This window comes from Homo sapiens, chromosome 2 (assembly GCF_000001405.40).
Source record: "Homo sapiens chromosome 2, GRCh38.p14 Primary Assembly".
Classification (NCBI taxonomy): domain Eukaryota; kingdom Metazoa; phylum Chordata; class Mammalia; order Primates; family Hominidae; genus Homo; species Homo sapiens.
The window spans coordinates 167,642,737-167,661,163 of record NC_000002.12 but is presented as its reverse complement, the minus strand read 5'-3'; the positions used below and the strand labels follow the sequence as shown (position 1 = coordinate 167,661,163).

The 18,427-nt window shown below is 36.7% G+C and overlaps 1 protein-coding gene across 3 annotated transcripts in view; it reads right to left on the bottom strand.

Moving 5' to 3' along the window:
- B3GALT1 (beta-1,3-galactosyltransferase 1) overlaps positions 1-18,427 on the bottom strand; it is a 581,045-nt gene that overhangs the window by 212,882 nt on the left and 349,736 nt on the right. For all 3 annotated transcript variants that reach the window (XM_011512085.3, NM_020981.4, XM_047446159.1), the window contains one exon: positions 14,198-14,255. The gene's annotated coding sequence lies outside the window, so the exon portion shown is untranslated. The remainder of the gene's footprint in view (positions 1-14,197; positions 14,256-18,427) is intronic.

The following is an 18,427-nucleotide window of genomic DNA, read 5'->3' as shown; positions in this document are numbered from 1 at the left end:
TTTTCTACTTATTCAATTAATTTCTTTTGTAGGATGAATGATGGTGGTGAATGTCCATCCTGTATTAAGGATTTAAGCTCCGTTGCACAACGAAGAAAATCCAGAGATTACAGTGTACCCTTCTTTCTTTTCATTCCAGTTGATCAAACACATATCTGAAGACTACAAATTTCATTAACAATCCCAAACTATCAGCAACAATTCTTCAAAGGCTATTTATCAAATTTGTAAATGTGTTAGGGTAGTCCAGGAAATTCTCTCTCATTACTTTATTCTATTGATTTTCAGCTGCACATATTTTCACTTTTTAATCTCTCTGAAACAAGGTTTATCTTGCAATGCAATGCAATCGTACAATCACTGTCAACCTATAGTTATGTGAAAATCGTTTGATAAGCTAAAGAAAATGTCAGCATCAGTGCATCCTACATTCAATAAAATAAGGAGGATTACCTAAATATCTGCTTATAGGGGTGTGGCTAACACCTTCTAGTGACAGTGAGACTCACGTGCATATTGAAAGGAGGTTCCAGACCCTTATGATTTGTATTTTGAAAGATTCCTCACAGATACTAATTCACACAGTCCATTCATGAGTTATTCTAGAAATAGTATGCAAGAAATTAGGATATGGAAAATACTCAGGCCCCTGAGACCTTAAAAGCCAAATTACAATAATAGAATCTTCCCTCACAGTACCTTTGCAATCTTAGAGAACATTAAGCTTGTTCCTTCTACTGAATCATCTTTGAACTTATCTTAACTGCATTAAAGTTATTCCCTGACATACTGGACTGTTTCTAGACCCTTAAAGCACAGGCTAAATAGACACCACAGTACCTATCACTATTCCCATTTCCATAAAGTGGAGAGCCACACAAGCAAGAAAGAGGGCAAAACAGCAATTAGAGGCAACTTCCTATAATAACTTCCAGGGTTTGCATTTTTTAGTTAGAAAGAGCTATGAAAAGATACAGCTCTCAATGCTCAAGTGATAAAATCCACTTCCTAAACATGCTGCATAAACTTCAAATTTTCCTGCCAAAACATCCTGATATGTTTATGAAATGTCACCTAGTTTACAAATTGGCACACCTTCTATGAGGAGTTGGGGCAGTGATACGAAGAGTTTTATGGGGTCCTTTCTAGGAAATACTTCTTGGGGTAGACCAGATGCAGATCACGACAAACAGACCTGAAACTGGGATAAAAATTTGAATTGAATACGAATCAGTTCTGGAATTGGGGGAAATAATCACTACTACACAGTGACAGGCAGCTGGTACTCTGGTTCTAGGGTAGGAGTAAAATTATTTTATCCACTCGAGGAAGAAGAGAGGAGATTCTCTCTCTTTGAAATGCCCTAAGACTCAACTATTGGTGATCTGGCAGGGATATCAGCTACATTAGTGTCTCCCTGCAAAGGAGCCCTCTCATAAGCAAGTCACGAGAGATTAAAGAAATATTTTACAACTGGAGTGGCTAAAATGGTCTCTTTACAAATGTTTCTCTGGCTTTATCATGAAGCATGAAGACAGAGCCCAGCACAGGTGGACTTTTCAGTATTTGCATCTACTGTCCACAAACCACATGAAACACTATTTGGTATTACATTTTTGCCTCCTGACTCCGTACAATGTATGTGACTGAGGAATAAAGATCATCTAGACAGTGTTGGTGAAATAATAAATATTCTACAAATTTCATTTTGATAAAACTTCAATGTTTTCATCTAGTAAGATTTCAGTATTGAAGTTTTCATCTATCTAGTCACTTGTCAAAAGGCTCCTAATAATAAATATTGAACTACCCCGTAGTACTTGCACTGCAATGTGGAGCCAAAGGAACATAACAGAATAACTACTGACAAAGGGTAACAATTTAAAAAATTAATTACAACACCCCTCCCCACCACCAAAAAAAAAACACATGGAACTAGCTCAAGATGCTTTTCTAATTAAAGCTTTTATATCAGTTTCATAATGTCAACTGTTCAGGTATCTATATCTTGTTTATATCTCTGAGTTGGTTTTTTGGTTTTTCCAAATTGCAGTCAAGTTCTAAATCACAGAATTACAGACTTTTCAAACTGAAACTTAGTGTGCAATTGAATAGTAGTGATAACTAAAATAAGAAAAGTGGCAAGTGATTCTTATATTCATATTTACAAAACTCGAGACAAAAAGTGGACTAGAATTTGTTGTTTCTTAGCAATCACCTTTATGATAAAAATCATATAGTCTTAGGTCTGTTGGTATCATCTAGTTCAAAGTTTTACCAGATACACAAATCTACATGGCCTTGATTAACAGCAACTATCCAGATTTTATTTAAATGCCTCAAATATCCTATATGTCACTCCTATATGTCATATTGTACACTATAATCAGTTCTCCTTTTGCTAATTACCTTGCATTATACTTCATAGAAATAAGTAGATATGAGGCAGTAAATGCCCCATCTTCCTATGATGAACTGTATCAACCTATTCATACAGTTTCCATTAATGTGTTGGTAAATGTATAACAAACAGTAGTCCAAAAAAATTAAAAGCCCTTATTTCTATCATTTGCCAATTTCAGTGGTATAAATACTAATCTCAGGATACCAACATGAAGCCTCTAAAGTGGAGTTAGGAAGAGATGCACATAATCTGTTCTCAGGAGCAAATAGTTCTTCTCTTTTGTTATTATGATGAAGTTGTTCTATAAAGTTGTTCTATAAATTCTTCAACTCGGGATTTGGATCCAATCTCTTTTAATTTTCTAAAAACTTCATTCCTAATTAAACTTCCCCTCTCACTAAATCATCAATTTCTTCATTTTTGGAGGATTTTTTTTCTACCAGCATCTAACAAGCCATGTATAATCACAATATTCTTTTTCAATTCTCTCAATAGCATTTACTATTTGATATTTTTTTCTTACATGTTTAGGTTTTTAATTGTGTTTATATTCTGTCTCCCTCAAATAGAATGGAAGCCTTACAAGTGCAGGAGCCCTGTCTATGTTGTTCATACCCTTTTCCCCAGAACTTATAATAGTTCTAGGCACATAGCACATACTTACCAAATAGTTGCTGGTTTATGAAAACAATAGAGAACTTCGTAAAAGAGCCTTTTATCATTGGCAACACTTACTGTTAGAAATTTATCTTTTATGTTGGTGGGAATGAATCTCTTCCTAATTCTACACACTGGTCTCAAATATTCCCTGGGTCTTAAGACAAATGAATAGATTTTGATTCATTTAAAGAGTATGAAAAATAATACTGTATGCTTGGGTCATCAAAATACTTGAGGGACTCATATCAGTTTGAAACTAATAAAATAATGTTTAATGATTTTTATATTATACATTCTTATAAAATAGACCACATTAATTTAAATTGATGTTTATTGGTAAATGTCCTGACAATGTTTAGGAAGGGTTCAAAAAAACCTTACACACCACAGTACCTATCACTATTGATAGGTACTGATCACTATCAGCCCACTAGACTGACACCTAAACAGAATACTACTTGTTCCTGGTTATAAAGTCTTGGTAAGTGAATAATTAGATGTTTGTCCCAATTTGATAAATCATATATTTCACAGTAGAAACTAAATTTATCTGATAAAATTTTCTGTGAATTACAAGCAGATGTAATAGATGGCTACCTATATCAGCAGGGTGATCCCTGTTCCCTCTGTACTGTGGGGACATGCCGGCAGTGTCTTTCACCACTGATAATACTCCTTTCAGGCTGTCCCGCAGGCTTCCCTTCCCCAGCACACCCCTTGAATGGTAGTGACCCTTAAGGTTTCTTTCCTGGGCCGTTTATTTTTCTCTCTCTGTATACTCTCCTCTGTTGAACTCAGCCAGTCCCGAGGATTCAATGATCAAAAACTGATAATTCCCTAGATCTTATTCTTCAGCTCAAATATCTCTTTAGCTTTAAAGTTTGCAAACTCAACTGTCCACCAGACATCTCCATTTGAATATCCCCTGGGTATCTTGAAGGAACCGCTCTCAAACTGGATACATCTTTCTGCACTCCCCAGTAAGCACACTTCCATTTCCCAATGTTGCCTATCTCAGAGAATGATACCACTCTTGACCAGTTGAAAAACCATTTTTTTCCCCTATCATTGCCCTTTATTATACTCTTCTCAGGGATGCCTCTTTCCTGATTTCTCTCCTCACTAGAGGGTGAGCTCTGGCTTCTTCACTGTGGCATCTACAGCTGCCAGCACTGTGCATAACAAATATAGGTTCTCGGTATTTGTTGAATACCATTATTTCTCTAGTTAGACAAAAAATCTATTCATCCTTTAGGGGTTCCAACTCTCCCCCAAATCCAGACACTAAATCTATTAGGAAAGTGCCAAAATCGAGTATTTATTAAGGGAATATGGTCCAATTTGGTATAGATTATACACTATAATCAGTTTTCCTTTGCTTCACCAACAATAAGCTGTAGGACAGCTAATCCAGTGTAAGTCACAACTTTCAAATATGCCAATTCAATGCCTGAATGCCTTGTCATTACTGTCATTTTTGATGCCTTTTTCTTTCCAATTACATGCTGGAAGCACAAGATACAGTAAATATAATTCTTCTTCCTTAATATCATAGTGGTTTAAATTTAGATTCCTTAGAGTTTTCAGGAAAATGCATGTAAAAGAGGATTGAAAAAGTTGTTAATACTTTGTAAAAATAATTCAACTCTACTAAGTACAATTCTTAAAGAAAAAAAGGTCCTGAAAATTTCTCTTTTCCACAATGAGCATTATGCCTAAATTTGCTGTCGTCACTTTGCTTGTTTTTGCTCTTTGTCATCAAGTTTCCATGGATCTATTGTGATTATCTACAAGTGTTGAAACATAAGGAAGACCCAAGAATGATTACTTTCTCAGAAGTGAAACTGAGCTCTATTAGAACTTGGGAGAGTGGGAGGGCACTCTCTAAATAGGAAAATTATGGGCAGGAGGAAGATTACAAAGTGGTTTTCAGTTTGAAGGCCTCTACTGTCTTAGAAAGCCCAACATTCTGTCCTCACATAAATCTGGAAAATGTCTATGGGATGGGAAGAGGACACCCCATCTCAGTCCACTAGACTGATACCTAAACAGACAGTGAGACTGTCACTGTCATCAGGAGACGAGGACTTCCAGAGGGGCTGACACAACGTATGGAATACTTCGACACTTTCTAAATTGAATACATTTTTACATGAATAAAAATGCTAGTGGTGTGTGTGTGCATGGATATTTATATACTCAGGCATTTTCATTAGTTTGCTGACATTTGATCAGACATTTAAAAGTCTTTTGACTAACTCACAGGCCTACATTGTCAATTTCTACAAGTACTAGACAATATAAAACAGTACTAATAACAGCTGTGACAGAATTTAATAAGGCATATGAATAAAATGTGTAGTTTTCACAGGCTAATTTACACATATGTATAACTGAGAAATGAATTTGGAAGATGTTAGCCTCCCATCTGTACCACACAGATAAAGATAGGAAAAAATGATTTACAAACTGTCAATGAACAATTTTAAATGAATTCTCACGTTCCATCTGAAAGTAAATTTCAAATGCCCTAAATATACTTTCTGAGCTCCCTTGCTATGGGTGTTATTTTATTTCCATATGATTCCATAATTTATATGTACATGTAACAAGATGTTGATTTTCAGGCTCTAAATTGTTAATTTTGAAATTTGCATGATAAAATTTAGTCAGTGTTATTTGTGGTTGATTTGTGTGAGGTCAAATGCTCAGGATCTTTCTTCAGTTTTACTTTTCTTCTGAACTCTTGAATTCTCACCTCCTTCACTGAGTTAATTTCTGCTCTGATGAGCTATATTATGAAATTGCAGTACACATGCCAGCCCTAGAGTTGTATGTTATTTAAGTTGAGACTATAGATTACAGAGATAGGCAGTCTTGTTGTTAATCTTCCTGCTTGTTTCAAGATCCAACTTAAAAACATATGTAGCCAATAATTTGTGCTGCATTCAAATGGAATTTGTGTATCTCATTAAGTATAGTAAAAAAATATCAAGATTAAGTAGGTTCAAAGAATAAGATATTAGTATAAATCTCTAAGGAGAAGTGTAGTTCCAGATTTATATGATGGAATTTTGTTACAGAGAATATTAATCAATTCCCCTTACCTCCATTTTATTCATGGAATTTTTTCATTAATTCTCTTACATGGGCCTTCATTATCCTCCCCAGATAATTACAGACACTAACTACTGATTTAGTGGGTAGTTACCTGGGGGAGAGGGACTATAAAAGGTCATATTACAGAATCTGAGAGTCAAGAATTAGAGTCTAAAGTTAAGTGGAAAAAAAAAAAAAAGAAAGAGGCTGGGTGTTGTGGCTTATGTCTCTATTTTCAGCATTTCGGGAGGCTGAGGTAGGAGGAGTTCTTGAAGCCAGGAGTTCAAGGCCAGCCTGGGCAACAAAGCAAGATCCTGTCTCTACAAAAAAATTTTAAAAATTAGCTGGGAATGGTGGTGCACACTTGCTATCCCAGCTACTTGGGAGGCTGAGGCAAGACGATCCTTTGAGCCCAGAAGGCTGCAGTGAGCTATGATTGAGCAACTGTACTCCAGCCTGAGTGGCACAGTGAGGCCCTGTCTCAAAAAAAAGAAAGAGAGAGAGAGAAAACAAAAAGCAGTTGAGTTTGGCAAAGGAGAGAACATTCTGACGCAGACTTTCAGAGTTATTTTTTAGCTCCCCCTTCCCACTCATTCCTAGGCTGGGAGAAGTGGGGAGCAGAAAGCCTGGAAGAGATTTCACAGGGTGAAGTCTCAGAGGTCAGCAGAAGCTGGTAATAAGGAGTTAGTTTTGTCTTTAGTCCTACCCGATGAGAGACTAATAGTAGATAGTATTATTATCAAATATATTCTAAATGCCTTGCAGTCTAAGTGTGTTATGAGTATTAGCTCATTTAATCTTCACACAATCCATTAAGTGCTCTTATTATTTCCATTTTCTGGAAGAGAAAACAGAGGCACAAAAAGTGATATGCCCAAGGTGTAATAAGCGCTGAAGCCTGGATGTCAACCAGCCAACCTGACTCCAGAGGCCACACTTTAACCACCACTGTACTGCCCTTCAGGATGGTCCATTCAGGTAGCCAGGTTGGCATCTCCTGTTTCTTGTCTAACTGGAGCCATATCCAAGACTTTGCCTACCAACTCCACAGATCTACTGTGAATAGGTAACTTCAACAGCTCAGAAAAATAACTCATAAGACTGAAGAATGCATGGTGGGACCTTGGATGGCTGCTGGTGATGAACCGAGCAAAGGAGGACTAAATGGAGCCAACCAGTGAACTCCCACCAGGGCACTGGCAGTGGTGGCACATATATTTGCACCTTTTAGCTACTGAGGTGGTTTTGCTACTTTAATTCTTGTGGTGTTAAGGAGACTCAAGCATAGACCCTCGACACTGGGTGCAGGTACTGCTCGGCAAATGAGGAAGCCTATTAGGAGCGTGAGCCTGCAACATCTCCTGTAAATATCATGCTGAAGGAATGCAGTGCACAGGGAAGCAAGTTGAGCCTGTTGACCTCTAAAGCCTTTCATTTTGGAAGCCTTGATAATTCTGTGATTCCAGAGAGATATTGCTGCTCTTTCTGCAATTTCTATCTTTTAACGTTGGCAGCTCAAGCAGGTTCTCAGATGCTTGGAGTGAAGCTACTTATTAAAAAATAATTAACAGTGAGATCATCATGGGCACGGCTGAGTTTTAACAAAAGAACTCATGGAATTTTCGGGGTTTTAAAACTGCTATATATAAGTCCGAAGACTAAAATTAGCAATAATCATTAGGAAATAAAGCACTGTGGTTAATGTCCACATTGACCACAATTGGGTAGCTGCCTGCTGTTTTGAATCCTAATTTCTTCAGACCTTTTTGTACTAAATACTTTTTAAGTGATAAATCAACAACTGCCACACAAATTAAATGACTACATTTTATTTTTGAAGCACAGAAGAAGAGTCTTCTTTATGTGCTTTTACTATCGTTGGCATTTAACATATGTACATATTTTTACAAATCCCATTTGTAGATATTCCCTTCAATAAATGAGAAAGGTATTCTCCACAAATCCTTAGGATGTGTAGGCACTCAGGTATTAATAGGTGAGGTGGTTTTTCTTTTTCTACACACAAGACACACACGTATGTACACACATGTGTACATAGGTACACATCCATATAAATACACAAACAACTTCGTTTTTCTTATGGTATGACTTTTTAAGTTAAAAGATGTATGAAAATGTGGCATTTAGTGATAAAAAGAAAGACATACAGAATGTTAAATATTTATAGGTAGCATACCTACTATGTGCAAAAACTACCACAGTCACTGGGGACAAAGATGAATGAGACATGGGTCTGGCCTGAAAAAGCACCTATTATAGAGGGTGCAGGAAGTGGGAGACATGAAGTACACAGATAAATATTAATATGTAATAAGGGCACCATAAGATGTACCACATTTAAGCAGAGATAAATCATTTAAAAGGAATCTGTAAGGCAGGCATCCTGATTTCACACCAGACTCTTAACCACAAAAGATAATGTTGGAACTTTAAGAAGACTACTGAGGAATTCATTTGTGATGAATGAACACATACTTCAGAATAAAAGTAGCTGCTATTTATTGAATGTCTACTTTATATTTGTTTTCTCTAATTCTCACAATGCTGCAAGCTTGTTTTACAGATAAAACTTCTAAGTTTCAGAGAGGGTCAGTGAGCTACAAAATGTCACAGTGGGATAGTGGCAGAGCTAGAATTCAATCCTAAGGCCAGCCACAATTCCACACCACTAAAACAAGAACAAGCTTGTCTGCCTTTGGCTCTGCTGGTCATCTTTTCTTTAGCTAGGACCACTCTTTTCCCAGGATGTCTGTTGTGAGATTGGCTGCTTTCTCCTTTCTGTGTTCTTAGCTGTTGGTAGATTATCTCACTCTTGGCTGTTGAGATTGTGCTGGGTACAGCCTCTGTCAACGGCTTCAAGGTTCTGCTTCCCCCCAATATGTTCAGCAAAATGTTAGCTTCCTGCTTTCCTTGTTAACCCCTGGGGTGGCTCTTGTGGGTTTGGTTGACCCTGCAGTCTTCTGTCTATTGTAAGCATTCAGAATTCTCTGCTTGATCAATGGTGTGGGGTGTGCTGGGGCAAAGGGAAGGGATTTTTCTACTCCCTTTGGCAGGAAGAATTGCTTCTTTGTCAGGGTTAGAGTTGCAAACAGATTCCCCTTTGTAAGGTGTCATGATACTTCCTGGGTAACACCATTAAATGTTTCCCAGGGAGCAGAACTCTAGGGTCGTTGCTGAATTACTATTTAACTTCCAAGGGTATGTGAGCCTTCAACTGTTGTTCAACTGCACTATTGAACTCAGCACGTGGTAAAAGTAAGATTCTCATGAACTGAGTCTTTGATAAAAGGAATCATGGGCTGAATCTTTTACAGAACATGTCTGTTTTGTTAAACATTGTGTACTCAAAGTCCAACATAATGGATACATGGCACATAGTAGGTGTTCAATAAAAGTTAATTGAATGAATGAACTTGGAATAGAAGCAGCTGGCTGTGTGTGGTTATCTCAGCACTTACCTCTTTTTCTCTCTGAATGAAGAAACAACTATGTTGACTGCACACGTTAAAAGATAATTTAGTGACTCAGGTTATAAGAGGTAATGAATATATAGGGAAAGTAACGAAGATGTTAAGTTATCAGAAGACAGTTTTGGGGTATGGGTAGTACTGTCTGGACTAAACTCTACCTATTCTTAGAGTGACTAATAATCACAAATAAAGTGTCTATTTTTCTCTTTCTCACGCACACATGTGTGCACGTGCGCGCACACACACACACACACACACACACACACACACACAACCTTTCTGCTCTTCCAGGAATATATCTGGATACTCATACAAAGGTGCTGCAGAATTTCTAGGGAAGGCAACATGAGAAGGACTGGAGCAATAGTATTCTGAGTTCCCTAACAAAAGTTCATTGCATAAATACTGAATGCTTTTTTCACCGAGAATCTCAGGACAATTTATCTTTATAGAAAAAAACAGGTTTAGAAAAGGCTTTGAAAGGTCAAATCTAACATCTGCTTCCTTAAGAATTTTGTTTTAAAGCATGGGGAACACATAATTAAGGAGCATTTATTATACTAAAGGAAGAGATATTCTTTTGTCTCATTTGGTTTGTTTCGGTGAAGAAATTGGCTTACTTCTGTTAGCATATTTCCATTTAGATTTACTTTCAAAGAGGGAGTATTTCTTCTTTGAACTTCAGCTTTATTTAATCTTTGAAGATGGAAGAAGAAATAAAATGTGATGAAGAATAATAGTAAGGGATCCTGGAAGTACAGAAGCTACTAAATTTGCTTAAAGAGAAATAGAAAATCTGAGCAGACCTATAACAAGAGATTGAGTCAATAATCAAAAACCTCCAAGCAAAGAAAAGTCCCTGACCAGATGTCTTCACTGATGAATTCTACCAAACACTTAAAGAAGAGTTAATACTAATCCTTCTCAAACTTTTCCAAAAAATGAAGGAACACTTTCTAACTCATTCTATGAGGTCAACATTATCTTGATATCAGAGCCAGATAAAGACATCACAAAAAAGGAAAACTACAGACCAATATGACATATGCATAAACATGTAAAAATTCTCAACAAAATACTTGCAAAATGAATCCAGCGGCTTACCAAAGGGATTATGTATATATAACATGACCAAGTGGTTCTCTGATATATATTCTCACTATATATATAATAAATATATATATACACACACACATATATATATATAGATCAAGTGGTTTCTTTTGTTGAACCACCCTTGCATTTCATTTGTCCCTGAAATGCAAGGGTGGTTCAACAATACAAAACCAATCAATACAATATATCACATTAGTAGAATGAAAAGAGGAAAAAAAATGGTCTTCTTAATTGCTGCAGAGAAAGTATTTGAAAAAATCTAATACTATTTCATGACAGAATCACTCAACAGAGTAGATATAGAAGGGAACTTCCTCAAGCACATAAAGTGCATTTATGAAAAAGCTAGAGCTAACATCATATACAGTGGTGAAAAAACTAAAGCTTCCCCCTAAGGTCACGAAAAAGACAAAGATGCACATATTCATTACATCTATTCAACATTGTATTGTAAATTCTAGTAAGATCAATTAGGCAATCAAAGAAATAAAAGACATTCAAACTAAAAAGGAAGAGGCAAGAATATTTGCTGATGAAATGATCTTATCTATAGAAAATCCTAAAGAATCCACAGAAAACAAACAAAAAACGATTGGAGCTAATAAACAAATTTGGTAAACTTGTAGGACACAAGATCAACATACAAAAACAATTGTATTTCAGTATAAAAGCAATAATCAATCAAAAATCAAATTAAGAAAACCATGCTAGTGTAGCGTATCCATATAATGGAATATTATTCAGTCATTAAAAAGGAAACAAATTACTGATACATCTCCACTGGTGTGGATGGCCCTTGAAAACATGATGTTAAGTAAAAGAGTCCAGACACAAAGGTCTGTATTGTATAATTCAATTTATATGAAATATCTAGAATTTGTAAATTCTTAGAAATCAGATTAGTGTTTGTCAGGGGCTGGGGAAGGAGAGAAATGTAAAGAGACTATTTAATGGATACTGGGTTTCCTTTGGGGGTGACAAAAATATTTTAAAACTTTAAGGTAGTGATGATTGCACACCATTGTGAATGTACTAAATGCTACTAAATTATACACTTTAAAATGGTTAATTTTATGTTATATGAATTTTGCCTCAATAAAAATAAAAACAAGAGAAGAAGGAAATTCTGTGTTACATTTATTATGCATGAATTAGAGTGAATGCAAATGAAAAATGCCAAGGTTTATCTTTGAAAAATTGACTAATATTAAAAAGTAAATCAAACATTTTTAAAAAATAAAAAGTAAGGGATTATCTGTGGATAAAGTAGGGGTGGTAAAGCTGTGTTGATAAAAACAAAAATCTTTTCTACAGGTCCAGTGAGTCAATAAAAAAACATTATTTGCTCTTACTATGGTCACAGCATGACACTATATAGTTTGAGCAAGTGAAAGGCTATAAAATCTACTGTCATCTCCTCTGCCTGTCGTGGAGGCAGGCAGAAGCCAATGCAATTGACTTAGAAAGAATATTCTGAGTCTGACTCAGGCATGGAAGTGGGTTAATGGAGGTTAAAAGGAATAATAAATGGGAAAACCAAGCTGAAATCCAGGGAACACATCCAGTAGTAGTCAATCTAATGGAAGAAAAACAGAAGTATGAGGCAAAGCAATTAAATGGGGGCTACCGGATGAAATAGTTCCCATAAAAGAGGATGAGTTGGTGGCATATGGAAAAATAAAGATAAGGTAATTAAAGGCATTTATGTGGCATTTGATGGCTAAACAAAATGCCACTAAAAGCACCCACTTAGCTTGAACAACAAATACACATGAAGTAGAAAATAATTTGGTGTTAAATTGTACTTAATTTTATCTGAACACAAGAGAAATCTATACATTAGTGTGGGGCAAAGATGGGTAAGAATATTTCATATGGCAAATTAGATTTATATTGTATCCTAAGAAATGGGTAGGAATTGGACAGAGATGGGATGAGTAGAGACATTTCTTGTAAGTAAGGAGCATAATGAGATGGACATGAGAAAGGGGATACATGAGACAGTAAGGACTTTGTTTAGTGTAATAGTTTATGTTGTACAGAAAAAAAAATTGAGTTTGGATATGAATCTTGGGACTAGATCAACGAAGTTCTTAAATGCCTGTGTGCAGAGTTTGGACATTATCCTTTATGCTTTGAGCAAGGTTATCATATGATAAGAGCAGAATTTTAGAAGATAAATTTAATGGTATTTATAATGAACTGAAAATTTGAGATATCATAATAGGGAGATGACTGTTCAGGAGGTTTTTGTGGTAATCCAGGTAAGATTATCATGAGGCTAGGATGATTACACTGAGACTGAAAGAAAAGATTACATAAGCATAAAATTTAGTGGCAGATTAATTAAAAGGATGAGTTAGAGTTGAAAAATTCATCATGATTCAAAGGTTTGTAAGATGAGAAACTAAAAGGAGAGTAGATAATTGTACATTTTAGAATAACTTAAAGAGCGAAATTAGGTTGTTTATAGCTCAAAGGATAAATGCTTGAGGAGATGGAAACCCCATTCTTCATGATGTGCTTATTTCACATTGCATGCCAGAATCAAAACATCTCATGTACCCCATAAATACATACAACCACCATGTACCCATAAAATTTAAAAAATAAAGAAAGAAAAATAAAAGGAGAGCAGAAACTCTATAAAAAAATTGAGTGACTGGGAAAAAGAACTAGATCTGTGGCATGAACAATAAGTCCACTTGGACATTCTGAGTTTGAGAGCCCAGATGCATATCTTAATGATTTCCTTTAGGGAAGACATTCAGAACAGGAAGTAAAGAGAGAATCCAGGTCAGAAAATACAGATTTGAAAGTCATTGTTTGACCACCTCTAGTACTCTTTCTAAGGGTTTCAAATGTTAAGGATACTCTGGAAAAATTAGTCGGCATATTGCATCATTATTTCATGGAAGGATTCTGCCTTTCCTCTTGCATTTGTCTATTTCTACAGAAGGATGAAGAAACAAAGACTTATGGGATGAGAGAAATGCTGTTACAGGGTACCACACAGCATGTAAGCTGCTGCTTTGAGGGAAGTATACCCCTCAGGGCTTCCCTTTCCTGTTCATGCTCAGCTTGGTGCTGTAAGAAATATAAGCCAAGTCAAGTATAAACTCAAAAGTAAATAGTCGAGTTGGATTTTCAGGAAAATTTGTGCATACATGCATCTGGGGTCCCTACTAGCCTCATTGTGTAAGCTGTGTGGATACCTTCATGGGGAACATGGCCACTTCCTTTCTGAGATGTACATTAAATATACTTGAGAAGGTTCATGTCTAATTTTTAAGCTGGCTTTTCTTGCAGGTGATTTCTCTATTCTAATAAAGGCAATTTTCTAGTATGGAAGGTGAGATGAGACCACTGAGGATCAAAAGCAACCAAAATAAGAAACTACAGTAAGCCAAATAAACTTTACACTTACGCTTTCAAAGAGGCGATCTCCAGAACACTTCTGAGGACCCAGCAGCACAGCAAGAGAACTTTTTCAAGAGAAGAAAAAAAATACATTTAGATTAAAATCTTATAAATGCTGCAAATAAAAAAGCCCTATACAAATCTTACAATAATAGACACCCACTTTCAAAATTTATTGTCACAAAAATGGTGCATTTCACTAACAAATAATTGCTGACCAATCATTTGTCGGGCCATTACTTTCTCTTCTTGTCAGTTTTTATTTCTTTTTCTTCTCACAAGGGGGAGTGGGTCCTTACTCACCCTCAGGGAATAAATGGTTTCAGAACTGTGCCAATTCAGCTTTGTTTGCTAGATGCATTTTTACAAGTATCTGATTTTCCACTGCTGTGACTACAAGTATCATTAGAAGATCCTGTGATGGCAGGTGGGGTCAAACAGAGCAAAAGACAGCAACTCACAAAAAGGTAGTTTCAGCTATGTAAGCAACTACATTGGTGAGTTGGACAAAGAGGATCTGAGGTGGGCAGGCACTAGGAGAAGGAAGAGGAACAGGGTAATAGTAAAATAGTTCTCTCTCGCTCCCTTCACGCAAGGAAAGAACTGCTTTCTGATCTGGATGACTTAGAAAGAGGGGAGTTTGGCAGAAACCCTGGGTCCTACCCATGAGTGACCTGGAAGGCTAAATCAAGGAGGCCTTATCTTCCTTTACCCAACCTGCTGGTTCACTTAGAACAGCTCCCACATTTTTACTAGGTCTGTGGTAATGCTTTTTGAGCTTGTAGTTGTCTTTCCTGATTTATCCTCAGGAAATTTAATTTGTACCAAATCACTTCTTCGCACCAAACCTCAGATGCCCATAAAAAGAGGGGTCAAAAGAGATCATCTCTATGCTTTCTTTCAACTTAATATTCTGTGATTTCAGAAAAGGTATAGAAAACTGTACACCAGGAAAGGGTATTCAGGCTGACACAATTTACTCAGAAGTCACTTCTGCATTTCCATTTATAGCTTTTGAAGCCATTCTCCTTACGGTAAACTCACACAGACATTTTACAAACACCGCAATCACCCACTCCCACCCCAAGTACACATTTTTATTGGGCCGGGTGTGGTGGCTTACACCTGTGATCCCAGCACTTTGGGAGGCCAAGGCAGGCAGATCATTTCAGGTCAGGAGTTCGAGACCAGCCTGACCAACGTGGTGAAACCTCATCTCTACTAAAAATACAAAAGAAATGAGCCAGGCATGGTGGCTCATGCCTGTAATCCCGCCTACTCAGGAGGTTGAGGCAGGAGAATTGCTTGAACCTGGGAGGCAGAGGTTGCAGTGAGCTGAAGTCATGCCACTGCATTCCATTTCCAGCCTGGGTGACAGAGTGAGACTCCATCTCAAAAAAAAAAAAAAAAAAAAAAAAAATTATTGGCAGTGGCCAAGGGTAGAACAAGTGTAAACACTTCTAAAACCAGTGAAGTGTCATGAGATGTGTTGACAATTTAGTCTTCAGTCAACCAGTGCTTTTGATTTCTGATAATGTCCACAGCTTTACCTTTCTGTGTTCATAATTTGATAGTTAAATATTTTATCTTGTCTGCATCACCCTGCTCCTCCAAAAAGCTATTAATGACTTTTTGGAGAAGAATTTAATATTGCCAAGAAATTTAAAAATTATCTTCCATTAGAGTAATTCTTGTTTCATAAAAGTATTGCTAGAAAAGATCTGGAGGGGCTGTAAAAAATAAATCAGGTTGGGCAGCATTTGGTGGTCAATTCTGCAGGCATCCTTTACTGAGCAATGGTGGACGGCTGAGTCCATTCAAAAGTCAGCACCCTTACTCTTGCCGGCCTCACTATGAGTTTTGCTTTGAAGATAACAAGAGGGGTGGATTATGGTGAAGATAAAGAAAGCTCTTGACCTAGTACTCTCTATGGTGCTGTACTCAGAATAAATGGGAAATATATTGAAAAATATTCTGAAAGTGAAGTTTCAGACTTTTTCCAGTAAATATTCAGTTGCAATTAAGCACTTTAGATCAACATGGCTCTGAGTCTGAATGGTGCTAAGCTTAGATAACAATATGGCAAATTCTGGAAAGAGGGCTCCTGTTTGGAAGTGCAAAAGAAAATCTATTAGGAATGTATTAGCCAGAATAAAAGCCAGTAAATTCTTTTTTTTTTTTTTTTTTTTTTTTTAAGACAGAGTCTCACTCTGTCACCCAGGCTGGAGTGCAGTGGTGCGATCTTGGCTCACTGCAAGCTCCGCCTCCCGGGTTCAAGCCATTCTCCTGCCTCAGCCTCCCGAGTAGCTGGGACTACAGGCCCCCACCACCATGCCTGGCTAATTTTTTGTATTTTTAGTAGAGATGGGGTTTCACCGTGTTGGCCAGGATGGTCTCGATCTCCTGACCTCGTGATCCACCCGCCTTAGCCTACCAAAGTGCTGGGATTACAGGCGTGAGCCACTGTGCCCTGCGTAAAATGTTTTTTAAGATCAATTCAATAGGTGAGCTTGAAAAATGTTTCCTTTAGCTACTCTGGGTACAGGGTTTTCAGGGCTTTTTACTGGAAAATTATGTCAGTCAAATAAATGGTAGTGCTCCTTTCAAGTCTTCCAGGAAATTGTCCCTTCCCATTTTTTAAAGATATAATGAGGTTTTTTTGTTTGTTTTCTACTGGTAAGAACTTGCCTTCTCTCATCCAGAACACCTTAGTTAAACACATTCATCTGTGTTCTTGCTTTAGACCCTACTCTGACTTTTGACCATTTACTCCAAAACTGCCCTTCCAATGAGTATCCACTTCTGCCAGTATGGAAACTAATAACTATCATGTTAAAAAATAATTATTTCTAACAATTCTAAACACCTCCTTAAAACTGTGAAAACTGAACTCTTATGGTTATTTTGTGCTCTTTTATCTTACTTTACTTTTTAATTTTGGGTTGTATTTTGCTCCTCTTCTCTTGTCTGCACTGCTAATCCCACCCAATTTACAGACATTGACACTGTCTAAACATGAAAGACAGAGAGAGGTAAAGACAAGACAATTCCAAACAGCTTCTTCAGTTCTCTGGTTCACTTGGCAAAAAGAGCTGTCCCCATAAATAACTTGTATGATAATAATCAGGAGTATTACTGCTCCCACAGACCAGTCTGCCTATGGTGTCTGAGGTTCGCCAACCTATATAAATCATACTGCCAGTTTACCCACACCTTATACATTTGTAAACAGATACTGTTCAGTTTAAACAAACTTCATAAAAGGGAAGATTTTAGGAAGAATGTGTTAATTCTAGGAGGGCTGGGTGTATGGAGACCTCTCCCATTTAGCATGATGACTATGGGAAAAGAGGTTGTGGCATGTTTTGAATCATTTGGGATTTTTGCTTTTTTCTTTTCCTCTCCTTTTGTATTATCAGTGGTCTGGGTCAGCATCCCAAATTCAAGTCTTCTATGATTACTCCAATTCTTCATAGACTACTTTGGTTTCACATTTTTTCTTTTCTTTCCCCTACCACTTAACATGACAAGGTGGCATCAGATCCCAAGTCATGCCAGTGCACCTCTCTGGCCAGCAATGCCAATGGATCGATGATGTAAACCACAGTTGTGATGGCTTTTGATCCAATCCCAAAATGTATTATTAAATGCCACTTATAACATGATCAATTTCAGCATATACACAAAGAGATAATATCCCAAAAATACTTGAATCATCAACAAAGAGTAAAAGAAGGCTCTGAATGTCTCATTCTTAATGTAGGTAAACTCAAACACAGATTTAATGTATACGTTTTATCTTTTCTTTGTAACAGAATTTCATAGATGGTATGTGCACAAAGCTTATCTTACTTATATGAAGAATTATCTTCATAAAAGTTAACCTACTCCATTGTTATATGTTTTTAAAATTCTTACGAAGTAAGCTGCAGCTCCAAGCAACTTTATAATTGGCAGGTTCTTTACATCCTTACACATAACTATGGTCTTAGTTTTTTTGTTGAAATAATGCAGGATGAGTCCTCTGAAAGTATAAAAATATACATTTTTATACATTTTACACATTAATAGGATTCATTCACTTATAAATTTCTATTTATTGGATGCCTAATATTATATTAGCCAATGTTTTAAGTGCTGGGAATAAAATAGGAGCACAAAATATGAAGTCCCTCTTCTTGCAAAGTTTACACTCCTGAAGAGGGAGACAGATATCAACAACAACCACCACAACAAC